The 27,084-nt window shown below is 38.6% G+C and overlaps 1 protein-coding gene and 1 long non-coding RNA gene across 6 annotated transcripts in view; one reads left to right on the forward strand and one right to left on the reverse strand.

The window, feature by feature from the left end:
* Window positions 1–27,084, reverse strand: part of SLC9A9 (solute carrier family 9 member A9) — a 583,247-nt gene that overhangs the window by 280,383 nt on the left and 275,780 nt on the right. For 4 of the 5 annotated variants that reach the window (XM_017006203.2, NM_173653.4, XM_011512703.4 and 1 more), the window contains one exon: window positions 6,758–6,846. In XM_017006203.2, the coding sequence (XP_016861692.1) occupies window positions 6,758–6,846 (89 nt within the window). Of the gene's footprint in view, window positions 1–6,757; window positions 6,847–24,848; window positions 26,636–27,084 lie in introns of those variants that run through there. The other variant, XM_011512704.4, reaches the window with a different exon arrangement.
* Window positions 20,140–27,084, forward strand: part of LOC124906294 (uncharacterized) — a 29,525-nt gene continuing 22,580 nt past the window's right edge. The window contains exons 1-2 of the long non-coding RNA XR_007096123.1: window positions 20,140–20,219; window positions 21,678–21,730. This is a non-coding gene — a long non-coding RNA (uncharacterized LOC124906294). The remainder of the gene's footprint in view (window positions 20,220–21,677; window positions 21,731–27,084) is intronic.

Consider the following 27,084-nt stretch of genomic DNA (forward strand, 5'->3'; position numbering starts at 1 on the left):
AATATAAGGTTTCTACTCTCTACCCTAAGGATGCAGGCAGTCTTAGGAAAAGCCATCACAACCACTCACTTAGGAGCTGAGAGTTTTTCCAGGAAGAAGCATTCAGCCCTCAGTATGAAACTTTTCACTCCAGTATGAACCAGGGACTTTGGTTTTTGATTGCCTCATCCTTGGATTTGCTTTGACAACTTCTTGAAATGGTGTACCCAGTGATTTGGCCTCAAGTTAAATGGCAAACTCTAATTCCTCCTCTCATCTGTATGCATTGCAGTCTTTAATCAAGTGATCCCTACTCAACTGTAGTCTAAGAGAAAGAACCAGACACATACGTTATGCTCCATGTCAAGTAAAAGAATATTAGATCTAGAGCATGATCCTTAAAACCCAGTCATTTAGTTCAATCATTCATTTTACAGATGGAAAAAGTAAAGCTCATGTGTGTTAAATTAATTATCTGAGGCCCTACCATGAGTACTAGAGGATGGGGGCAAGACCCAGTTTTCTAGACTTTCAGCCAAGTGTCCTTTCCACTATATCTTGCTGCTCCCATATTCCAGATCCTTTATTTGAATTTTCAGAGTCATGCACAGAACATATAATTTGGCTCCCACTGTCTTCTTTTATTGGAAATTTAAATTTGGATTTGCATTGCTGCTTTTCCATTCAATGGCGATAAACACTATAAATATCATCTGGGGGGAATGGAAATAAAATAAGCATCTGGAAAGAATGTGCTATAATGAAGATGTCATTGTTTGCCCATAAATGCTAGACAAAGAATCTGGCTTTTCAAAAGCAAATACATGAAAACATCTATGTCCATCCCAACTTGTATTTGTATAAAAAATTAAAATGTACTGAAATAGGTAGATTTTCAAAAAGAGCAGAATCAAATACTATATAAAGTAAATGACTAATTATCTGAATTGGCTGAAAGTATAATAAATACGGCCAAACATCCATTTGTTTTTCCTTCCACCCATTCAAGGTTTACTGAATAAATGATACCCCACAATTGGTGCTATCCCATCTACTAACCAAATGATATTTAGTAAGAGGCAACATAGTTTGAACCACAAAGTAAAACATCTGAGTTTGAAATCTGCTACTTATAAGCCTAGAAAAAACTCTAATACATCATTTTTTTCTTTACTGTTTCATCTCCTTAACATAAACAAGCACTGTTATTTCTCCTACCTTAAAAATAAAAAGATATTTTCTTTGGTCCTACTTCTTCCTCCAGCGATCACCTCATTTCTCTGCTGCCCTTCAGCAAAACTCCGTTGAAGGACTTGTTGATACAGGAGGTTTCCAATTTCTTTCCTCTTATTCTACCTTGAACCCATTCTATTCAGGTTTTCTGCCAACATTGTTCTTATCACTGTCATCAGTGATGTTCATTTTCTTCATCTTACTTGAAATTTCAGCAGCATTTGGTATAATTCATTATGCTCCTTGAGACACTCTTCTTTTGACTTCTAGGACGCCATACTTTGCTTTTCTTTTCCCTAATGTTTATTACCTTTCAGGCTCATTTGCTGATTTTGGATTTCTTAACATTGGAGTACCTTAGATTGGTCTTTGGACCTCTTCTCTATCACTGTCTTAGAGATTTCATCCAGTACCATGTTCTCAGTATCATCTGTATATGATATGCAATTATCATCTCTATATGTTAGTCATATGCTGATGACTCTCAAAATTGTATTTTTCTCCTAGACCTCTCTTCTGAGCTCCAGAATTCTATGTCCAACTGGCTACACAACAGCTCCACTTTGACTAATACACATCCCAAACTTAACAAGTCAACCCTGGGCTCATAATTTGTCCCCCAAACCTGTTACTCTTCCAGTCTTCCCTAGCTAATACCGGATACTTCTATTCTTCTAAAACGTACGTACATGCCTGTACTTAAAGGTCTCAAGTGTTTCCCCACCTCATTTGGGCTCTCCATGACCTGTCTCTTCTCACTGCTCTGCTATTTCTCTCATACTCTCCCTTGTTCACTCCATACCAGCCACATTGGTTCTCCTGCCCCAGGGGGCCTCTGTACCTGTCATTCCCAGTTTCTCTACAGTTCTGTCCCAAATGTCCACATGGCTCCCTCTTTTACTTTTTTTCAAATATCACCTTGCTGAGGCCTTTTCTGGACACCCAATCTAATATTACAAGCCTGCCTTCCCATCATATACTCCTAGCTACTCTTCCCTGCTTTATTATTGGCCTTATGTCTTACCATGAGTGCACTATATACTTTGCTTATTTATTTTGACTACTATGAAGTTCCTCAACTAGAAATTCTTTTTTTGTTCACTGTTGTATCCCCGGTACCTTGAGCAATGGCTGGCACAAAGTAGGCTCTCAAAAAAAATTTGTTCAATGCATGAATGGAATCAGCGATAATGAGAGTTACCTCTTAGGTAGAAAGGTAAGTAGAAAGTAAATGAGATAAGTACTTTGTACATGTTAACGCACAGTAAATGGTAATTATTTACATTCATTTCATCTACCCATGTGTATCTGTTGGAAATAATTTTTGGTGCCAACCATGTGAAGGGAAGGAGAAATTCTAACTAAAAGGGATGCTATGGAAGTACATGGTTTTGCAAGTTAGTCTCAGGCAAGGTAAATACAGCCGATGGGAACACCCTGGAGTTTGGCGCAGATAGCAAGCTCCCAGGCCTGTCTGGGGGTGGTGGGGGTGGTGAGGGAATGTGGGAGGAAAGGGGTAGGAGGAAGGCTGGAAATCATCTGAGTGGGTTCATGGGGTCTGTACATAGTCTTCTGGATGGCCCTGGGTGAGACCTCCGGGCTACACTGCTGTGTGCTGATGTCCATCTTGAGTATCCCTAGCACTGCTCAGCTCCCAGGGAAAGAGACAGGGCTTACAGTATCTGTCTGTCTCTAGGACTTGATGTGCACACCCTAAAGCAACAAAGAACTCCAAGTCCAGGGAAATGAATTGCTGCATATGTTCATATACTCTTTAATAGGATGCTTTGGTATTCAAAATACAAATCCTTATGTTGCGTAACAGCATCATAGTGCCTCTGTCATACTGCTTTTTGCCTAACACATAGCGATGTTACATGTGTTTTCATAGGTTGAAGCAAAAATGAAGTTCCTACATCTAAAGGGTCATTATCATGGACAAAACATATCTTAAAATGAAAAAATACAACTTTAAAAAGGCACTCTAATTCTTCAAGCTATAAAGAATGCATAATTCTCTAAAGCCTTTGTATCCAGATATAGCTATTTGATTAACTGGTATAGACACAGTTGAATAGAACTATTTTGTAAATCATGTCATCTTTGAATTTTATAACTCAAAGGTGATTTACATGGATTTCCCTGAGTTTACTAATTGGCTTCCTACACTCTCATTAAACAGTCCTGGCAACAGAGGCAAAGCAGCTGTGTAACTGCTACCTTCCCGTTGACAGTGTGAACACAACATGGGGATATGTAGAGCAAGATACTGTAACCATGTAACATCATATAATACTTCCCAAACCTTTCCCAGTTTCAGAAGGGACACAGTGGCAACCTCTTTAGTACATGCCTCAGCATTTCTCTACAACTTGTAATTCGTTTCCCATGAGAATTTGAACTCTGCTTGTTACACTAGTGCAGAGCCTGTAGTGTGGCTAAGAGCCTCTGACTGCACTCTTTCAAAGTGGGGACCTTAGACTCTGTTTACTACAGTATGGGATGTGCATGTGTATAGGCATGCATAGATATGCAAGTATGTATAAATATGTACATAGGCTGTGTATGTACATATTATAAGAAAAAAATAAGCAGAAAATGACAGATCCTGATAGAAAAGAAATGAAGAAAGGGATGAAAATGAAGTGGAAGGGAATTAGCATTTATTAAGCTTCTGCTATGATCCAGGCACCCCCAAAAAAAGGCAGTGTGGGGAACAAAGATGGGGATATGCAGTTACCTAGATGTTAAGGAAAGAACTTGTAACATTCTCCTTCCTTAAAAGAGAATTCTGTAAAAATGAATGCTGGCAACCTGTCAGGGAGGGCTTTTCAAGCCATTCAGAGGGAGAACAGAAGGCTATGGGCACTGATTTTGGCTTTGTTTCCCCTAGATGCTGGGCTGCTGTCATGCCATGAGATGCGTTATCTTTGAAGTTCTGCTGAGCAGTCTAGATAGAATGACTTAAAAGTGCAAGTCCCTAAACAGGGTTCAGCTTCCCAGAATACAAATATGCTCAGAGAACCAAAAAGAGGTTAGGAAAAAAACAGCCCAAGACATTTCCCTTTAAGCCCTAGGGAAAGCTAGTAGTATTCAAAATTAAAAGGATTCTGAAAGACTATATGTTGGAGGTTTCTGGATATTGGTATCAGTTTTTGTTTGGGGGGCTTTTTTCTTTTGTTTCACTCAGGGGGCCTCAAGATTTCTGTAACTGCATCTTGTGATTCTTCTGAGGCATTTGCAGTGATAGGCAGAGGGGAAGGGTGACCTCGCAGAGTCCCTGGGCAGGTAGAGGTAGAGTCAAGCTTGGGATGTGACAAAGAGGGATGAAAGTGATAGCTCATTCTGGAGGGCTTCAAAGTAAGCTTTCAGGAAATCCTGTTTAGGAATTTCTGGTCAATTACAGGTTTTGCTTTGGTTGCTTTTGCTTTCTCTACTCCCACTGCCCTAATATCACATCAGATGTCCTCAGCATCACCATGTTTATTATAAGAGACCTCTCTGCCTCCACTTGCATTTTGGGCTAGATTGCATCATTCAGTCCAATTCTCCATCATTGCCTATGTCCACATTCTTTGCCATATAACTTTGCAGTGATCTCCCACTGTGGTCAGGGATCAGCTTGGCCTCTGGACTCTGGACTATGCCATATAATTTTCCTTGACCAATGAGATATTTAGGAGATATGATACAAGCACAGTATGGAAATGTAACTTCTTCAACACTGGGGCTTTCTTTTCTATCAGGAGAAGAATGACAAACATGTGGCCCTAGCAAAGCCCACCAGTCAAGCCTACTTTAGAATAGAGCCCCCCAAAAATCAACAGACGTATACATAAGCTCAGCTGGTACAAGCTGATGCACCCAGTCCAACCCCGATAAAAATGGCTGAAGCTTGCAGGTATGTGATCAATAAATGATTATTGTTGGATGACACTAGGGTTGTGTGGTTGTTACACAGCAAAAGCTAACTGATACAAGTGCTGTTTGGTCTATGTTCCTCATGTCTCCCAGAGTCATATTCCTAAAATGGAACTACAATGATCTTAAAATTATTTTGCCTAGGACCCTTCAATGACTTCTTGTTATGGGCTGAACTGTGCTCCTCCAAAATTCATATGTTGAAGTCCTAAACCCCAGTAGCTCAAAATGTGACTTTACTTGGAAACGGAGTCATTGTAAATGTAATCAGCTAAGATGAGGTCATACCAGAGTATGGTAGCCCCTAACTCAATATGACCCGTGTCCTTACAAAAAGAGGAAATTTGGTGGTAGACATGCATGCAGGGAGAATGCTACATGAACACTAAGGCAGAGATTGGGGTGGATGTGTCTAGAAGCCAAAGAACACTAAAGATTCCAGAAATCTTCCAGAGGCTAAGAGAGAGAGAGATAGAACAGATTCTCCTCCACAGCCCTCAAAAGGAGCTATCCTGCCAATACCTTGATCTCAGACTCTGGCCTCCAGAACTCCAAGACAATACATTCCCGTTATGTAAGCCACTCCCCATTACCTATAGGTTATAGTCTAAAGTCCTTCACAAGATACGTAAGTCATTTCATGAGTTGGTCTCTGCTGTCACTGTATCCCACTTGCTTTAGCCTTGCCCCATTCACAAGCCATGCTGAACTATTTACAGAGCTTCCACTGGCTGCTCAAGAGATATTGTTCATGCTGATCCCTTGGCCTCAAATGCCCTTGTGGCTACCTTCTACCCTCTAGTAGACCCCAGATCTTTACCTAGTTAACTTCTATTTATATTTCAAGCTCCAGGTTGGGCATCATCTCTGGAAACTTTCTCCTGACTTTCTCAATCCTAACTGTAGGGTGATGTCCTACTAAAGCTCCTTATGCACACTATAGACGTATTTCTATGACAATACTTATAAAATTGTGGCAAGTTGTTTGCGACACATCTGTGTCCTCAGAAACAGTCTTGATAACGAACCTCTTGAAGGCAGGGCCATAAACTATCTGTTCTTGTATTCCTAGTAGCTAGCATGGTGCTTGGCGCAGAGTGGCTGTGCAGCAAATGTCTGTGGAAAGAATCTGTGTGTTTATGTGGAAATATCCAAACAGATGTGTTCTTGGCATAAGGGAGATATATTCTGCTTGTGTGACAACTGGCAGTTGAGTTTGCTTGGCATCAAAAGCACCCAATTAAAGACCAAACCTCACTTCCTTCTTTTTCTTCATTTCCTTCTTTCTCTATAACTACACAATCTCACATGCCTTATAATGCTTTTAGATGTAAGTGACTGTGAATTATTACCAACTGTATGCCTTTCATCTTTAAGACTGACAGTCTAAGTTCAACATCTCTCAGGAGGGAGAGACTATTATAACTATATTTTTGCTTACCAAGAGAATTGTTAATGGTTATCCTGGAGGGAAAAAAATCTATAAATATCCAACTCGTAATGAAGCCTTAAGCTTACATTCTTCCTTTACTAATGAAACTCTTTCTGACTATACTGCCAGAATTGCTACATAACCATTTCACTGAGAAAAGAGACCAAGTCTGTAGTAAATTTTTTCTTTTACCTGTTTAGTTCTTATTTTGGAATCCGAAGACAGATTGTTGTAGGTATAATGTGCTTGTGTGACTCCACAGAAGAGAACAGCAACTATCCCTGAAATTAAAAAAACAGATCAGTCAAAACCAATTTTTCTTTTCCATCCAAGTCAAAGGTTAGGGCTATTCCAGTTGGAAAATAGACTTGGTGTCAGTAGAGTTAAAACTGCTAGTAGTTACCATGATAATGCAACCTAGGTAAATCTTGCACTTGCTTTAAACAGGGTTTAAACAGGGTCCTGAAGGATTAAACCTAAAGAAAAACATTAAGAAGTAGATTCTAAATAAACATGAGAAGTAGATTCTTCCTGGAGATAAACGGGTCCCTGTTCATGAGCTAGAAAAGTTATATTTGAAAACATGAACAAAAGACTCCATAGCCAACCCTGGGTTTTTCATAGCCAGTGCCAACTACTTTGCTGGATTTTATACTAAATACTGGCATATTTTCTGAAAGATATTTGCTTTCCGCTGTATACTTTGGGTAGCCTAAAGAAGTTCCTGTCATACCATAATTTAGTATTAAAAGTCATGAGTGACAAACCTAAGACATCCACAAGGGTTTTGCTGCCCCTGCCAACGCTCCTACTTGCCAAGCAAGAGAAAGGAGACCTTGTTTTCTCCTGTGCCTCTTTGGAAAGGCTGGGTGCTCTGTCCTGCTGCCAAACACACCCAAGGCATTCACTCCTTGAAAGTAAACTGGTCTGTTCTTGTGTGATTCCTACCAACAGTGGACCTTCAGTTGCTTCTTGACATCTGCAGGGTTTAGTTTTAAACCACATATCAGCTTTAAATGTGACATGAAGTCACACATACACTAGATGCTTTCTGGAGACAGAGGAAGAGCGACCATGAGACCGACATGCTATCTGTCCCTGGGCTCTGTTATTCTCTGTGTTATTGTCCCTGGGCTGGAGTGGGGAAGCAGTGGGAGCTTGCACTGTACTTTGGGTTAAAGATTAGCTCAATTGTGGGAAATTGGGCATAGAGGAGGGCTTTGGGAAAAATGCAAGATATAAGTATTCCTCGACTCAGACCAAGGGGATTGAATTGAATTTTAAGCAGCAAAATCTTTCCAACTAAAAACACTCATAAATTAAATGCTGATGATTCTTAAGAGTATAGAGATATGTGAACTGAATACTGACATTTCAAGTGAATCTGCAACAAAGAATTTTAAAGAACTGAGCTTTAAAAAAATATGTAGACTATATGCTTCTATTTACATGTTGGTTATTTTTCAGGTCAGCATTGGATAAAACATTGCTAACACATATTTGCATAAATGTGTAAAATCTACATGACTTATTGTCTTTTAACATTATGCTTCAAAATTTTAGACAAAAGAATAAAACAAGTAGGAAATTTTACCATGAAATATCTATTCAGTAGGCAATTCAACAGATTTTTGGTAACTTCTCAGTTTCTTAGCATCTCTTCAGAAATTCTAAGGCAAAAATTCTTATAAACTATTTTACTATTCACAGAATTTCTATTTTAAAAAGCAACAAATACCAGGGAAACTTTTAGTGTGCTGAAGCACTAAGTACTTCAAAGCACAAGGAGGATTACCCTGTATACTGTTTTGGCATAAATCATTTCTCTTTATTTATTTAAAAATGTGGCCTATGTCTGTCTAGTGTGTAGTCTATTGGGGGTTTTCTGGGTGAGGTTTTGCTGACCTGTTCACTGTTTTGACTAGATATTGATCTGTAGAGAAGTAGTGAATAAAAGGGCAGGTGTGTCTGTGTATGGATAGCAAATAAATTCATTGTAAGAACAAGAATAGGTAACAAAGAAGTGTTACAAAGGATAAGGAAGGGACTAAGATTGTCTGAATACCTACTGTGGGCCAAGAACAGTGCTTGTTTAATTTACATCTTCTTATTTACTGCAGTGAGTTACTATCTCACAACAGGCTCACAATGATTAAGCAGCCTCTCCCACTGCCTTCTCCTTTTTAGTAATAGCATCCATTCTTTTTGCTGCCCAGGGGGAAACTTTGGGACCACCCTAAGTGCACCTCTCACTGCAAATCAGCAATTTTGTTTACTTGTCCTTCAAAATGCACCTTGAACCCAAACACTTCTCAACATCTCCATCCCTAGCATCCCTTTCCAAGCCCCCATAACCTTTGGCCTGGATTACAACGATAGCTTCCTAACTGGCCTCCCTGCCTCCCATGGTAGCCCCTAGCAATAACGCTTCTTTAAAAACTAGTCAGACCATGTCTGGCCTTTGCTCAAAACTTTGTAATGGATTCCTGTGGCTTAAAAGGTCCTGCAAGATCTCTTCCTGCCCCTTCCCCACTCCCCACAACTTGCTGACCTCTTCTCTGACCACTCCCCACCGCCTTACCTTTCAATATCCTCTCTAAGTATGTTCTGCCAGGGGCCCTTGCACTTCCTTCCAGGTCCCACTGTTTGGAATGCTCTGCAGATATCCACATGGCTCCTTCCCTCCTTCAGATATCTGTTTAGATGTTACATGAGCAGACAGGTCTTCTCCATCCACTCTGTACAAATTGTTCAGTCTCATCATTCTCTACTTGCTTTATTTTTTTCCTGTACTATATCTTGCTACTTGATATTTTATATATTTATGTGTTTATTTTCTGCCTTCCTGCATGATATGGTTTGGCTGTGTCCCCACCCAAATCTCATCTTGTTGTAGTTCTCATAATTCCCACATGTTGTGGGAGGGACCTGGTAGGAGATAATTGAATCATGGGGGAAGCTTCCCTCATACTGTTCTCTTGGTAGTGAATAAGTCTCATGAGATCTGATGATTTTATAAGGGGTTTCCCCTTTCACTTGGCTGTCATATCTCTCTTGTCTGCTGCCATGTAAGATGTGCCTTTCACCTTCCACCATGATTGTGAGGCCTCCCCAGCTACGTGGAACTTTGAGTCCATTAAACCTCTTTTTCTTTATAAATTATCCAGTCTTGAACATATCTTTATCAGCAGCATGAAAATAGACGAATACACTGTAACACAAGGCAAAGCTCATTGAAGACAGAGGGATTCCTTGATTCCTAATGATTAGAGCAGTACCAGGCACATGGTAGGCACTCCGTATTTGTTGAATAAATAAGTGAACATTCCCATTTCTATTGAACAAGTAAGACACTAAAGTAATTTACTCAAGGTCACCTCTAAAGTGACAGAGCTGAGATCAAATAGTCCATAGCATCCCTGTGCTTTTCTGCCTATATTAGACCATCTGTGAATGTTTTAAGGTGATCTTAAGCCATCTAAAAAATATTTCTGATATCCCAGGAACTAGCCAGAGATTTTACGAAAAAGATTACATATCTCTCTGAACTAGCTGGGCTTATCATTGGAGAATATTTTCCCTAGTGGCTGCATTGGTTATCATTTCCTTGCCTCCAGTAGAAAACTAACAGGCTATGTTGTTGCTAAATATCTTTTGAGTCTTGTGTGGATGGATATGTCATATAAACAACAAACAGTGGAGAATGAGCCCACATGACCAGAGGCTTGGTGTTGTAATTAAAATAAAACAACAAAATTGATCTGACCCTTAGTATTAGCATACACAATCATAATTCCATAGCTTAGTAATAAATTAAATCACACAAATTACTGTAATTAGTATGACTTTTACAAGCCAAACACATTTTGAAAATGTCTCATCTAAATACATCTATTATCTATAAAATTCTCCAACACAGAAACAAATTCAAAGTTGACTGTTTTCTACCTTATGAAAGAACATTTTAATTATCACTATGTTTTTATATACCCATGCCTGAGTCCTAATTGTGAAGCTGTTATGTGAGGTCCTAGATAGTTCTCTTAAACTCTATGAACCTCAGATTCTTGTGTGTAAGAAAGAGGGTGAGGGGGACCCTCAAGGGGCCTAGAAGTGCTTTTTGTGCCAGTCATCAAACCAGTGTCTCAGCTCCAAACCCACGTATCTTTACTGGCTCTGTGATCCTGGCACAGGGGCCCTATAAACCATGCTTTCCTTTGCCAGTGCTGTTGGATCCTGCCAGTATGAAGTGCCAGAAGGTGACTAGAACCCAGTGGAGGAGAGAAGGGCTTGCTTCTTCCTATTTGCCTGCTCTTCCTGCTAGCTTCATCTCAGCAATGATACACCTCAGAAAGGGCAGCCAGGCAGTGTCCTTAGAATTCTGGATCCTAGCCCAGTGGTTGCCTCTTAGGAGCTTCTAGATTCATTTCCCTTTACTTTTCCTACTCCTAGGGTTCACACTTGCTTCCTGTAAGTATTACCTCTCTGTTACCTTTATGCACACTTTATACCTTTTGAGATCTCCACCAACTCTCTACCCAATTTCCTGAATTAAACTCTGTCAATAGCCAGATCGTTTTCTTTTTTTCTGAGTCAATCCTCGTTGATATTCTCTTGTGGTTATCTTCTCTTTCTAAACTTTGATAGTTCTTGGAAACCACAGTTTTCCATTTGAAAATAAAATCCAACTTGTATCTTTGCTGTCATAACTGAGACAATGAGGAACACTAGGGGCAGGCAAGACCATGTGCCAAGTCCAAGAGAACTGGAACTCATCCTCTTTTCAGTTGTACCTATGGTTGGAATTGGTATTTTTAAAAAGTGATGTGGTTATATGGTTTGGCTGTGTCCCCCATCACATCTCATCTTGAATTGTGGTTCTCATAATCCCCATGTGTCAGGGGAGGAACCCAGTGGGAAGTGATTGGAGCATGGGGGTAGTTTCCCCCATGCTGTTCTCATGATAGTGAGTGAGTTCTCACTAGATCGGAGGGTTTTACATGTGTCTGGCGTTTCCCCTGCTTGCACTCATTCTCTCTCTTGCCACCCTGTGAAGATGTGCCTTCTGCCAGAATTGTAAGTTTCCTGAAGCCTCCTCAGCCTTGCAGAACTGTGAGTCAATTAAACCTCTTCTTTATAAATTACCCAGTCTCAGGTATTTCTTCATAGCAATGTGAGAATGGACTAATACAGTAAATTGGCACCGAGTGGGGTGGGGTGTTTTTATAAGGATATCCAGAAATGTCGATGCAACTTTGGAACTGGGTAACAGGCAGAGGTTGGAACAGTTTGGAGGGCTCAGAAGAAGACAGGAAAATGTGGGAAAGTTCAGAACTTCCTAGAGACTTCAGGGACTCAGAAGACAGGAAGATATGGGAAAGTTTGGAACTTCCTAGAGACTTGTTGAATGACTTTGACTAAAATGCTGATAGTGATATGGACAATGAAGTCCAGGCTGAGTGGTCTCAGATGAGGAACTTGTTGGGAACTGGAGCAAAGGTGACTCTTGCTATGCTTTAGCAAAGAGACTGGTGGCATTTTTGCCCCTGCCCTAGAGATCTGTGGAAATTTGAACTTGAGAGAGATAATTTAGGGTATCTGGTGGAAGAAATTTCTAAGCAGCAAAGCATTCAAGAAAACTCAAAACAGAAAACATTGGAAAATTTGCAGCCTGACAATGCAATAGAAAAAAATAAAACCATTTTCTGGAGAGAAATTCAAGACCATTGCAAAAATTTACATAAGTAATGAGAAGCCAAATGTTAATCACCAAAACAATGGGGAAAATGTCTCCAAGGCATGTCAGAGACCTTCACAGCAGCCCCTCCCATCACAGGCCTGGAGGCCTAGGAGAAAAAAATGGTTTAATGGGCCTGGCCCAGGGCCCCCCTGCTCTGTGCAGCCTCAGGACATGGTGCCCTGTGTCCCAACTGCTTTAGCTCCAGCTTTTACATGGTGTGGAGCCTGTGGGTACATAGAAGTTAATAATTGAGATTTGGGAACCTCCACCTAGATTTCAGAGGATGTATGGAAATGCCTGGATGTACAGGCAGAAGTTTGCTACAGCAGTGGAGCCCTCATGGAGAACCTCTGCTAGGGTAGTATGGAAGGAAAATGTTGAATTGGAACCCACACAGTCTCCACTAGGGCACTGCCTAGTGGAGCTGTAGGAAGAGGACCACTGTCCTCTAGACCCCAGAATTGTAGATCCACTGACAGCTTGCACCGTGCACCTGGAAAAGCAACAGACACCCAATACCAGCCCATGAAAGCAGCTGAGACAGGGTTGTACCCTACAAAGCCACAGAGTCAGAGCTGTCCAAGGCTGTGGGAGCCCAAGTCTTACATCAGCATGACATGGATGTGAAATGTGGAGTCAAAGGAGATCATTTTGGAACTTTAAGGTTTAATGACTGACATAATGGATTTTGGAGTTGCATGGGGCCTGTACCTCCTTTGTTTTGGCCAATTTCTCCTATTTGGAATGCAATGCCTGTACCCTCATTGTATCTAGGAAGTAACTAACTTGCTTTTGATTTTACAGGCTCATAGGCAGAAGGGACTTGCCTTGTCTCAGATGAAAATTTGGACTTGGACTTTTGGGTTAATACTGGAATAGGTTAAGACTTTGGGGGACTGTTGGAAGGGCATGATTGTGTTTTGAAATGTGAGAACATGAGATCTGGGAGGGGGCAGGGGCAGAATGTTATAGTTTGGCTGTGTCCCCACCCAAATCTAATCTTGACTTATAGTTCCCATAATCCCCATGTGTCATGGGAGGGTCCTGGTGGGAAGTAATTGGATCATAGGGACAGTTTCCCCCATGCTGTTCTCATGATAGTGAGTTCTCACTAGATCTGATGATTTTATAAGATTCAGGTATTTCCCCTTCTTGCACTCTTTCTCTCTCCTGCCGCCCTGAGAAGAGGTGCCTTCCGCTATGATTGTAAGTTTCCTGAGGCCTCCCCAGCCATGTGGAACTGTGAGTCAATTAAATCTCTTCTCTTTATAAATTACCCAGTCTTGGGTATTTCTTCATAGCAGTGTGAGAATGGATAATACACAGCCTTTATATTGGAACAAGTGGTTTGGAGAGAGAAATATGTTAGACCTAGAACTATTAATGAGGCATAGCCCAGACTTGGATTTATGTCTTCCAATTCCCAATCCCATAATCCTTCCAAAACACAAGCACTATCCTATGGTAGAGTAGCTACTGCGACGTGTAAGACGTTCCTATCATATGTTTAAGCTGAAAGATTATCTGCCAGCATTGTTGTAGAAAGGATTATTTTCTTAAAGTCTGGATTTCCTCCAATTCTGAAGGCCTGTCATTTTCCTATGTATTACTTCATTAATCCACTGGGATGAACCCTTCAATTCAGTCTTTGTTTTTTTTTTTAAGGTCAAAGAAATAACACTGGTTCTAAATGAAACCTTTAAGCATTTTGAATAGAGGCCAATTTTCTCAATAAGTGAAGACAAGATAAGCTTATAGGCTTTCAAAATTGTTTCAATTTCAAACAAGCCTTCTAAAGTAAAATTTAAAAATATATTGTTACCATATCTTCTACTCATAAGAACTTAGTTTTTTCAAATAAGCTATGAGGTTTAAAGAGAAACTCCAAAAGTCTTCTCCATGTAAAAAAGGATATTTTTAAATCTCTAGAACACAAACCTTCAGATCAAAGGGCATTGAAAATAGTGAGTTCGGATGACTCTGCCCAAGCGACAGAGCAGTTCACCCCACAAAGGAACCCACTCCCTCTCTCCTTCTCTCTTACTGCTGTTTCTTACCACTTTGCCTTGCCTGTTCTTGTCACTCCCAGGCTTTGCTTAATTTACAGCTTATATCACTGTCCTCTCCATATATCAGAAGCCACTTGACCACATCTGGAAGTGCAACTGTGGCCCAAGAATCCACAAGGCAATGATTTCAGGACTCTGGGTATTAATGTACATCTGAGCACCAAATCACCTGGGGATTTAAATGCAGATTCTCCTTCAGTAGGTTTGGGGTAGAGCCCCCAATTCTGCATTTTTATACTATTAGGGGATGTCCATGATGCCGGCCCTTGGACCACACTTTGAGGAGCAAGTCTCTCCCTAACGGTCTGGGTCTAGGTATCAACTCACCCTTGCTAAGAGTTGGCTCTGACCTTGTATGTCCCCAAAAGATATTTTTCCCTTATTCTTGACCTCTTAGCATTTTGGAACAATTATAAGACATCTTCAAAGGAGTAGCACAATTTTTGTTACCCTTTTTTTTGGCTTATAAATATCTTTTGCTAATTTCAAAAAATGTTTTAAAATTATATTTTTGTGTTTTATTCTTTGGTTTTCTTTTCCTAGCTTTCCAGAATTGACATGGTTCTGTGAAGTCATTTTAGTTTCAGAGAGTAATTATTATCAAGAAAATCTGAGAGGTTTTAAATTTTTTTTACTTTACTTTAAAATTATTTCCTTTTCATCCCAACAATATTGGAATGTGAAAAAATTACATAAAATAAAATTGATGATATACTTTACCACCAAAAAGTTGAATAAAACTTTTTCCTTCAAAAAAAAAAGGAAACAAATACATCACATCTTTTGATCACAATGTTATAAGGCTGTCATATTTTTTACCACAATGTTATAAGACTGAAAATTAACAAAAAAGCATAGGCTAAATAAATGTATCCACTGGAGACTTTCAAATGCATTTTTCTAATTAAAATTTGAGTTGAGGCCAAACGCGGTGGCTCACGCCTGTAATCCCAGCACTTTGGGAGGCTGAGGCAGGCTGATCACCTGAGGTCAGGAGTTCGAGACCAGCCTGGTCAAAATGGCAAAACCCCGTCTCTACTAAAAATACAAAAATTAGCCGGGCGTGGTGGTGTGCGCCTGTAATCCCAGCTACTTGGGAGGTTGAGGCAGGAGAATTGTTTGAACCCGGGAGGTGCAAGTTGCAGTGAGCTGAGGTTGTGCCATTGTACTCCAGCCTGGGCAATAAGAGTGAAACTCCATCTCAAAATAAATAAGTAAATAAATTGAGTTGAAGGTGAAATCAAATGTGAAATTTTAGATTATTTAGAAATAGGATAACAATAAGTTTATACCACATACCCTATCAAAACCAATGGGATAAAAACCAAATAATTATTTAGTGGAAAATTGATAGTCTTCTGTGCATTTTATCAGGACAAAAAGATTGAAAATAAGTAGATTATTTACCTCAAGAAACTGGACAAGGGGCATAAAAATAGACCCAATGTAAGCAGAAAAAACTTAACCAAGAAAAATGAAAAAGTAGCCAAAAAGAATATATGAAAAAGAGGACTTGGCCACTAAAATAAAGAGCTGCACGGTAAGAGTAGGGTCCACGCCTCTCAGCCCCTGTGGTATCTTGGGCCTCGATGCTTCCCAGGCTGCCATTCTCTCGCCATGGCTACAGGCATAACACGGGTGATGCTGGCCAATAGCTTCACCCTACTGAGACTTAATTTTCTCATCTGGCTAGTGGCTACCTGTCTCACGGTCTGTTTTTAATATAATGCAATATGATGGATATTAAAATGCTTTACAAACTCAATACTCTTAAGTAAACATAAGGTTTTGCCATAAATATTAGGAGATGAAAGGAAGAAGACAAGAAGGAATAACTTGGAGAAACTCATTTCAGGGATAAATACAGCAACATTTCCTATTTAACAAGTGACTGGGAGATAGTACAAGCTTTGCACATTCTATGCCCTTTTTCACCTTTGTTGTCTTCCCTTCACCTTTAACTCCTGCATCAAGGAAAGCAGGTAGATATGTGCTTGCTATTCCTAGTAATCTAAACTTAGACAATTCTCAGTAATGTCACAATTAAGCTACCAGACTTACATGAGTGAGTTTGGTATCTGGTATTTACTCACTCAATTGCTAGTTATCTATTGAGATCCTATACTGAGCAAAGCACTGACCATGGGTATGAGGAACACAAGACTGAATAAAGCAGGCCTAGGCCTCAAGCAGCTTTATGTCTCCTAACAGAGATAAGATATATACAAAGACATCTAAAACTGGTAGAATAGTGGGTGATAACAAAGGAATTCTCAAAGGGAGTAATTTCTTTAAGGCTAGAAAAGCTGGGACAGGGATGAGGAATGTTTTCCTGAAAGTGGCAGAGGCATTTGGGTCTTGAGAGATGAGAAAAATTTGGGAGTGCAGGTTCATGGGTAGGGACTTCAGTAAGAGCAAAGGGAGAGAGGCAGGTGATTGCGGGGCATATCTGAGAAACATGCACTTTACCAGCACACTTGGACTTTAATCCATTATAGATAGGGAATAAATACACATGAATTAATTTAAAAATTTTTTGAATACAAAACTTAATAGGAGAAACAACTAATAAACTCTATGCTTAATTGTCAAACTATTATAAGCACTAAGGTATTTATCTTGCATGTTTTGTTAGGCCTAGTATACATAAAATTAGAAATATAAAATATCTAGTATGTCTACCCTCTGCTGGCAAAGTATTTCTTCATTTTCTTTCCCAATAAAAATAAAATCTGATCATTCTGTTTCCATCTCTGCTGGAAAAACAAGCAATCCTTAAATGCAACTCTTACTTTACATGTCCAAGATCTTAGATTTAAATTGGACATATGAGGCCCTGCAGCAATGATGAATGGACTCAACTACATACATCTGGGTCCATGCGGAGTGGGTCATGCTCAAAAATATCTAGGACCTAAAATAAATAAAGGACTCTGAAAGAAATCAGGAGGTGGCCTACAAAAAATAATGATAAGAGCATCTGACTCATGTTTGTGCACAACACTGCCTTTCAGTGTTTGTACAGTGAGATTTCAGTGGTGGGTAAGAGCCCAAAGGATTGACTGCAGGGACTCATTTACACAATTTTGGATAAGAACTAGAACCAACACTTTTTGATAGTATCTAAAAGAACTGTTTTGAAAAACCACAAAGAGGCACACGGTTAAATTCAAGTTAATTGGCAAGCAAAGAAATTTAGGAAACAGCATGAGGAGATCTATGCTTCTTGGGGAAAAATAAAGATTCTGCTGGCAAGTAAATTATTTCCAGAGAGATCAATTTTCAGAGAACAATTAAGTCTTTTTGTTTAACACAGTACCATTTATACTGTTCTCCATGACTTCCACTTCTGGACCCCCTCAGAAAGCATTAGTGCTACTAAATATACTATGTCTATTTACTTGTTGATATGATCAAACTTCAATATGTGGTTGTAAATTATGTAAGAAAAAACGTGCAATACTGGGAGTCAGAAGACATAGGATCTATCTGGTCACAGTTCAGACACTTTGCTAGTTTGATGACTGATGCAATTTAAATGCATTGCCTCGTCCATTGCTTTCTCCTCACTAAATTGAGGAAGGTAGTCTGTTTAGTGGTTTTCAAATAGGGGTATATAAGACAATCCAAGGAAGGGGGAAGAAAACGTAAGATCATCATAATTTTAATTAGCACTTTTGTATATTCTAACATAATATAATTACCCTTGTGGGCAAAAAAATGAAAATTAATATATAAGCATGTGTTACATAATAAATCTATTTGTTGCCAATAAGGGTCAAGAAACTCTGGCAAGCATTGCTCTAGATGACCTCTCAGCACCTTCCAATTATAAATGTCTGTAATATAAATGGTTCAGTTTTTACTTTGCTTCAAGGTCTGCATACTTGGGATTGAAGAATTGCATGGGGTTTAACAGCTTCACTTGACTTCCTGTCAACTAGATTACCCAGTGTCTCCCTCTTGACCTCTATCTCCTCAAGAGCTAGGTTCCTGACCTGCTGTCTTATCGCTGACCCACAGCAGTGTCCAGCACATGTCAGGTACTCAAATACACATCTGTCAAAGGAATGAAATTCTACTTCAAGAAATGTTTATGTGCTTTGAAAAGAGAACACAAGGAGATTAATCCTAATTCTCACTTACGAATAAATGTTTATATGAATTTATTCCTGGCAGGGTCCGTTGTCTTCTAATATTTAAATTTTCTTATTCAAGAGTATGTCACCTACAGCCTCTGCTTCTGATAACATTACTCCAGAATTCTTTTCTCATTAAAAGTTGATGAAGCCGTCAGATACAGAAGTAGAAAATAAGTGTCTGTCACATGAAGCATGCTCTACCTTGACATTAAATGCAGACTTGAAGAGTTTCTAAGACTACAGAATACTGCATTTTTGGACAGGAATATTGATTATATCACCAGAACACAGAAAGAGAATGAATAAGAAAGAAAAAGAAATGTGTCTTGCACTCAGATGGTCCTCTGAGGGGTTTAAGAGGTTGATGGGTTATTCTTCCATGCCACACTTTTATTTATTTTTGATCTAGTAAAAAGAGACATTTCTGACAGGTTTCCTACAACCACTGAAAGTGAACCTGGAACTGAGAAGTCAAAGATTTAACAAAATGGAAAACTCCTTCAGGCAATATGAAAGTATCCAACTTTCCAAAGAGTACAATTACCATCTAGTTCACCATATTTGGCAACTCCATAGTTGGCAGATTAATAATGCATCTGTGGAATATAAGAACATCAATATAGAAAACAGCATGAATCTATGTTATTATTTCTGATTCCTCCAATGCTGAGTATATAGATATGCACTTAAGTGTTACTTCAAATCTATGTTGCCAGGTTTAGAAATTTTTGTTTAAAAATATCCTCTATGTAAATTCTTCATAACATAGTAATGAGTACTTATGCAAATTATCTTGAGGTCTGGAGAAGAAGGAAAGACCTATTTTGCTTAGATCCCTGGCATGGCGCCTCAAGTTTTGGTGTTCATTAGGCTTACCCTCCTTACCCTGGTTTCTTTCTAGTTCCCATTTCCTTGGAGTCAGCTAACACATTTACATCAATGTTGCCTAAATCTGTGATCAGCAATCTCACCCCAGAAGTCCAGGCCAGTTGCCCACTGTACTTTTCCATGTGGATATTCTACCCTTGTGTGGAATTCTGAAGGTCCTGGAATGAACTGATTATTGTGTCTCCTTTTGGCGCATGTATTCACTCACTTGTATTCTCCATTTTGGTGAAATCAACCACTGACCCAACAGACATAAAAAACCCGGGAATTATCTTTGACTCATTTTTCTTCTGCATCCACATGTTATTTGTGCCATCTTCTGACAATTTTCTACATGCCTATGCAGAATATGGGTTCTTGGGAAATAATTTTACCTTTTTCTCTATGACTCCTGGCACCATGAAGAGTTGTTAAATAATGACTGAAAACATTTACAATGAAGAAAGGAGGGGTAAATTTGTCCACTGCTTTAGCTATATGTGCAGGTTGTTTGAATATTGAAATGAAGAGCTATTTGGTTCAAGGAAGTGCAGGTGTGAGTTAATGAGTTATTATGCGAGAAGACATACTTTACACCTGTGTTTATTGAGATGGCATCATTGCATGTTTGTCTTTGGTTCAGTGTGCTGGTTAACTAATCCCCTTGAGAATTGTAGGCACTATTTCTGCAGCTTGAACGCCTAATATTTTGAGCCTCAGGGTTTTGTTTTTTTTTTTCCAGCTTGGAAAACACTCACTTCACCTCATTTGTTGGTGAATTGTTGGTTAAGTTGGATTCACCTGGTTCTGTCAATATAAAGCAAACCAGTTTTAAGGTAAGAGATGTTGGCTAATGACACGTATTTGGAAGCTAAAACTGGCCAGATTTGTTTTGAGAAACAATTCAAACGAAGTCCCCTCCTGGAGATTTGTTTTATTTACTGAGCTCCAGAAATGCATTTCCCATCCAGTCATGCAGTGCATCAGTGGCAAGCCAAATGGAACACATTCACCTCTGAGCTAAAAGCCTTCTTAAGAGTTTGAAAACAATTTTTGCCCAAGTGAGAAATGATGAGATGAGAAGTAATAAGCCAACTTACTTACTCAGACAAGTGAAATCTCAACATGTCCAGTAATAGTCATTTCATTTGGAAATCTCTCCTCCTTATCTATTGCAAAATAGACTTTCTCAAGTTCCCCTTTTCCCTCACTGCTTACTCTACAAAAGCCTTTCAAGAACTGACTTGACAAATACATAGCACCTGAGTTCCAAGTGCAGCTTTTCCTATCATGGCAATGTAATTAGGCCCTTGTGATTTGAGGCCAATAGGAGAACAGGCTTAGGGGAAGGGATTGAGATGATTTAACTGTTTGTGTTGTAAACACAACTTGCATGTGCTGAGCACTTCTTTCTTTCAGACATCTTGGTCAATTCCTTAATGAATAGGCCAGAGTGTTACTTGTTTTTAACTTCCCACACTTTCATTTTTTTTAAGATTCATTTACTCTCTAGAATCAGATTAGAAAGCCCAGCCCCATTACTTAATAATCAGGACTTCTTTTTCTTCATATTTCTGGATGCCTGTTTTCTTAAATGGAAGTCATTCTAAGCTGAGTAAATAGTGTTCTATACTGTTTAACTTTTTGTATGAGAAAATGAGATATGCCAGTGGCACTCTTCCCCCTCCTCTGCCTCCAATGAACATAAAATTGCCCTAGGAATCTAAAAATGGAAGCTGTCTTTATTAGAGCAATGCCTGGAAGCAGGGAAATCATTAGACATGGTGTCAATGTTGCCATTAGAAATCTTACTCTTTGGGTGTTTAATGACAGTCCCTGAAAGTTTGCTTCTGGCGAAAACCTGACCCCCAAAGTCTCAGCTGGGAAACAGATTATAAAAATGAATTTTCAAACAACCTGTCCAGCTGTGCTTTTCGGTTATCTTTATAAACTGGAAAGCAGCTTCTATGACAGGATTCAATTCCATTGGAGATATGCTATAAATAATACTGCTGAAGTATTTTCAATATTCATTTAAAAATAATGGCTCAGTAACCTAATGACTTTTAGAAAACAGGCCTCTGCACAAGAAAAATTCTACCTGATCCAAAATTAGGTAGTCGTGTATACCAGGTACCTCACAGAGAGAATTCCTTAGGGTCATGTATTTACCCAAAAGCCACATTCTGTATGTGTACAATGTCCTTCTATTACAAAGCAATAAATTCCTTTGACTTTAGCAGTAAGGAAAATAGAGATGCCAATTAATAGGATGACTTATTCCAATCCTTTAGCAAGTCAGCTGAAGATCCAGAAGCCAGAGACACATGCCTCGGTGGCTGATTTTGTAAGTATGGCAGACACATCCACATATGTTCTCTTCTTTCTATGCTCTCTGGATTTGTGAGAAGTCCCTAATGTCCATTTCTCTGTACATACTCTCATCCTCTATAAAGACTTCTCACTTGCATTTTATATTCTGCCCAATCTTCCCAAATAAATGTTTTCTCAATGCACTTGTATATTTCAAGCAGCACAGATTCAGATTTCTGGGTAATAGAAACACCAGCCTTCATTTGCATGTCTAAAAGCCACTTGTTTCCATAAAACCAAGTTCTTGTATGTGACTATTGAACACTGGCAGGTGCAATTTCCAAGAGACTGAGATGAGGTGGCTGCAAATGTGGCCCTTGAAGCAAAAGATGATCAAAATAAATCAAATGATCATCATCAAATTAGTAACAACTGAAAGTGAATGCAGGCCACGTGTTAATGAGCAAGCTGCTTACACTGAAGTGTTCATGATGAATCTGGTAAGAAGCTGAATTGGAAAGGATAATGAACACTGCAAACTGTCTTTAAAAGCTTGATTCTTTTTGTTCGTTTATCAGTATGCACCTGGCATAAGATGGTCCCAAGTATCCTAGCCTAGAGGCTGTGCCGTCTTTGAGACTGTCTTCCCTTCTGATCTGTCACAAAGTTATACAATTTCTTTTGTTGAAATACCTCATGGACTATTCCTTCCTTTGTACCATTTAGATTTCTTTGTTTGCAAGTAATAAAAACAGACTCTGGCTAGCATAATCAGAAAGGAATTTATTGGAAGGAAGTGTGATAGCTCTTAGAAAGGAGGCATCATGGCTGCTCCAGGGATCTGGTGGCAGGAATAAATAAATAGAGGGTCTCAATAGGGCTCTGCTATTGAGGAGGTGCCAGCAGTTATACAGCCTCCTCTCTCCCTCCTAAAGTTTTACATACCAGGGGAAGAGTGTCTAGTTGTCCTACCTTCAGATGTCCTAATTCTCTTTGTCAGGGGAGGGTGGGACACGTTGATTAGAAGATGTTATCCATTGGAGTTGGGGGTAGTTTCCTAAGAAACATTAGGATGCTATTACCAGTGGAAGTGAGAATGTGTTGGGGCAGCCAGAACCAACACATGTCCACCACATTCTTCTAGACAGAGCTGTTCCTTTCATGCCTATATGTCTTCATTTTTTAACTTAATAATTGGGAAAATAAGGTTACAGATTAATGCAATTTATGAGATATCATTTACTTGACGTATGGATCTGCTGTGAAATGTTTGGACCAGAGGATGTGTAAAATCTGTAGGAATATTATTGGGCACAGAACACTTACTACCTTATAAAGTGATCTGTTATTCAGGTTTTGAAACTTTTTTCTTTTGTGAGTGAAAATTATTCATTCCACTGCTCGAACGATATTTATTTTGTGCCCACAATGCTTCAGACATTCTTTTGGTGCTGACAAAGCCCTCCTGAACTTGACAGTCTAACTTCTGCCCATTAATCCTAATTCTCCATCAGCTCTAATTTTGTACTTTAGAGCTACAGAGAATAAATCAAATAGTGCAGTGCAATCTAGATGCACATATACAAACAATAACCAGTTAGAAACTATAAAGAAGTTCCCATTTACTGTAGCACCCCAAAATATAAAGTAGCTGCTGAAAAGATACTTAACAAGAAATTTGTAGGTCTAATGTGAAGACAACTGTAAAAATTTACTGAGAGCCGTAAAATAAGACTCAAATAAATGGAGAGTCATAACATATTCCTGGGTGGGAAGACTTGATGTTATAAAAATGCCATTTCTCTTCAAATTAATCTAAAAATTTAATGTACCCCAATTATAATTCCAAAATTATTTTCTGTTTGGAACCTGTTATTTCCAAGTCCATCAGGAATAATAAATACACAGGTATAGCAAAGGAACTTTTGAATATGGGGAAGAGGAGTGAAAGACTGACCTACTAGATATTAAAATAAACCATGAAGCTGAAATAATTGACACAGTGAATATCAAACATTCGGTGGAACAATGGAAAGCCCAGAACATACAGATACACATACACATACATGTATGTGCACATACATAGACATTTTAAATAGGCAAAAGTTGATGGGTGTTAGGACAGGTGACTTATCATCTGGGAAGAAAATCAAATCGCTACTATACCCCACACCTCATATCAAAACAAATTCCAGTTGGTTTCTGATGCAAAAACAAAATCAAACAACTTTTAAAAGAAATTATACACTATCATTAAGAAACACTTGGGTTTTCTATATATTTTTTCTTTTTTATTATTTTTTAGGCTGCTAAGTTTGTGGACATATCATTCACTTGGGCTTTCTAAGGAGGCAATACAATTAACCACATAAAACTTGAAAATGCCTATGCCAACCCCTTTCCCTTACCCAAACGAACAAAACAGAACATAGTTAAAAGGTACAAGCACAAATTGGAGAATATTTATGGCCTATATGACAGTCAAAAGGTTAATTTTCTTTTATTGTTTTTTTCTTTTTTTTTTTTTTTTGGAGACAGGGTATCTCTTTGTTGCCCAGAATAGAATGCAGTCATGTCATAGCTCATTGCAGTCTTGAACTCCTGGGCTCAAGCAATCCTCCTGCCTCAGCCTCCCTGGTAGCTAGGGCCACAGTGTGTGCCACCATGACCAGATACTTTTTTTTTTTTAGAGACAGGGTCTCACTATGTTGTCCAGTCTGGTCTGGAACTCTTGGGCCCAAGCAATCCTCCCTGCTTGGCCTCCCAAAGTGCTGGGATTATAGAAATGCATCATTGGTCCTAGCCAATTTTCTCCATAGATAAAGAGTAACTGAACTACAATGTGACAAAGATAAGCATCTCAACACGAAAACAGTTAACAACAACAAAAAAGTAACAAAGGGCATAAACTGGTAGTTCACCAAAGAAGAAATACAAACAGCCAATGACCTGTAATTAAAAAAGCTTCTCCTTCATAAAAATATAATAAATGTAAACCGGAAGAAAATGGAACTTGATTATCAAATTAGCAGTGATTAATAAGATTTGGGGTGGTGAAGACGTGAGTGAATGAGCTTGCTTTCAGATTGCTGGTGGGAGTGCAAGGGGATACAAATTTTCTAAAAGACAATTTGGACAAATTTGTCCAAAAATTTAAATTTTAGTCTTTTTATTAAACCAGACATTTTATTTTCAGGCAGTTACATAAATAAAAATTTATATCTCTAGCTATACAGATTATCATTGCAGTAATAATAAGAATATTAAAACCTGTAAATAATCAAAAGGTTGTTACAATAAATTATGGCAAGTTCATATGATGGAGTATTCAATGTTTTGGAAAACATTCACTATAAATTTTTTAATGCTCCATTCATGGCATTTTTTTCATTATAAATTGTTGAATGAAAAAAGCAAGTTACTTAAGAAATATATAGATATATGCATGCACGAGTATATTTAGGTAGGCATATTTAAGTGTATATGTGTGTGTATAATTATATATATATAGTTAGCTTGACACAGCCAAATATTAACAATTGTTATTAACATGCAATAAGAATATAAGTGATTCTAAATTTATTTCCTTCTGTAAATCTGCATTTTCTAAATTTTCTACAGTGAGTATGGATTACCTTGGGTGTACGAAAAAAATAAAATATATTTAAAAACAGATGTGCTTTGTTTAAAGTAGCAGAACATTTTTTTTCAAATAGAATTGTATGTGATATCCCAATTTCTGAAACCAATAAAAGGGGTGAAGTATGGGTAGGCGGCCGAGAGCCCTGCTCACTAGACGGATGTTCTTGAGGGCGCACTTTGAAAGGTCAGGGCCTGGGGAATTCTGCTGAGAAATCATTCCATGTTAATACCATCTCTAGGAGCTACATTAAGTGTTGTTAGTGAACCCATACAAGGCTCCACGATTGCTGGTTACCTCTGTAGTTACTCATAAACTATTTAATAGCTCTTTCCATTTTAGTTTACTGTATTCATTGTTGTCTATTCATGCAGAAATCATTTTTTTAAGTTTTCTAGATTTTTAGATTTGTATCATATTAGTTTACCTGTGCATTAGAACTAAAATGATTTTATTATTACATGGAAATAATTACAGAATTATAATTTGAGGCCACACCCTCAGGTTTTATTGAAAGTTGATATGAGAAATGACCATATGAAGAATGAACCTCCATTTTCCCTAAAATTATTATTAAATACACTGTCCATTCTGGTGTTCAAAGGCCCTTATATATAGATGCATGTGATAAATTCCCCTAAAATTTTAGTATGAAAAATAAAGTTTGCCCACTTTGATAAGCATGACTTAAAAAAAAATAATGCTGTATTATTCCTGTATAACTCATCATGTTCCCCTTTTGGCTTTGACTGCCAGAAAGCTCAGAGCTATATTTATTGCCAAACCACAGCAATGAACAGTGGCCTAATTTTGCAGAAAAATTCTGTCCCAGAGCACTTGAGTGTTTACCCTCAACTAAATGGTCCTGTGATGTGCATGGCTTATGTTATGAGTTGTCACAAATCCAATCTGGAAATAGGCAAGGATTAAATAATAAACAAACAAACACATAAGTAATTTGGACTAAGCGGTCTTGGTCTTTGGCAATAGAAAATGCTCACACCTAGAATTTGGTTTGTAGCAAATGTCTGTTAGGCACATTGCCTAAATCTAGTGTACTACTCGGGGGTGAGTCTGCCCCTCGGTACAGCCATGGACACTTGGATCTTTCTGTTACTGGGGTTCACACCCATATTCACCCATCCCATGATGCTGGCTCCTTAGAAGGTGGTCTGTATGGCAGCTCAGTAAGGATATCAGGTTGAAAGGGTGTGAAAGAGCAAGGATCAAGCAAACTAGCAATTTGTTCAGTTTCCCATGGATCTTAGCCTTTAATGTAGTTGATAGAAGAAGATCTTGCTGAAATGGACAAGGAAATAGACAATTTTTACACAAATTGACAATTCTTAGGCAATGGTGTGTGTGTGTGTGTGTGTGTGTGTGCGCGTGTGTTTATTATAACATCCAACAGTAGATTAAAAAATATTAGGTGAGTTAAGATACTTCCTTACCTTTCTAGAAGGTCAAATATTTTTTCTTATTATTAATACTACTTGGATCATTTTATAAGTTAAACTTGAATAGAATACAGAATGTGGAAGAAAGGGAACTAATGTTTTTTGAATGACTGTGATGTAAATGATTTGCCTACATTATTTCACTGAAGGGACATGGCTACTGTTTTCTTCTGAAATGCATAAGCTTTCCAGCTACCTCCTTAATAAAGTGGCAATGCACTAAAATAACAGAATTTGTATTGAAATAATTTAGATACAAAGGCCTGGTAGGGTGGAATCCAGTAATGTAGT

This window comes from Homo sapiens, chromosome 3 (assembly GCF_000001405.40).
Source record: "Homo sapiens chromosome 3, GRCh38.p14 Primary Assembly".
In the NCBI taxonomy this organism is placed as follows: domain Eukaryota; kingdom Metazoa; phylum Chordata; class Mammalia; order Primates; family Hominidae; genus Homo; species Homo sapiens.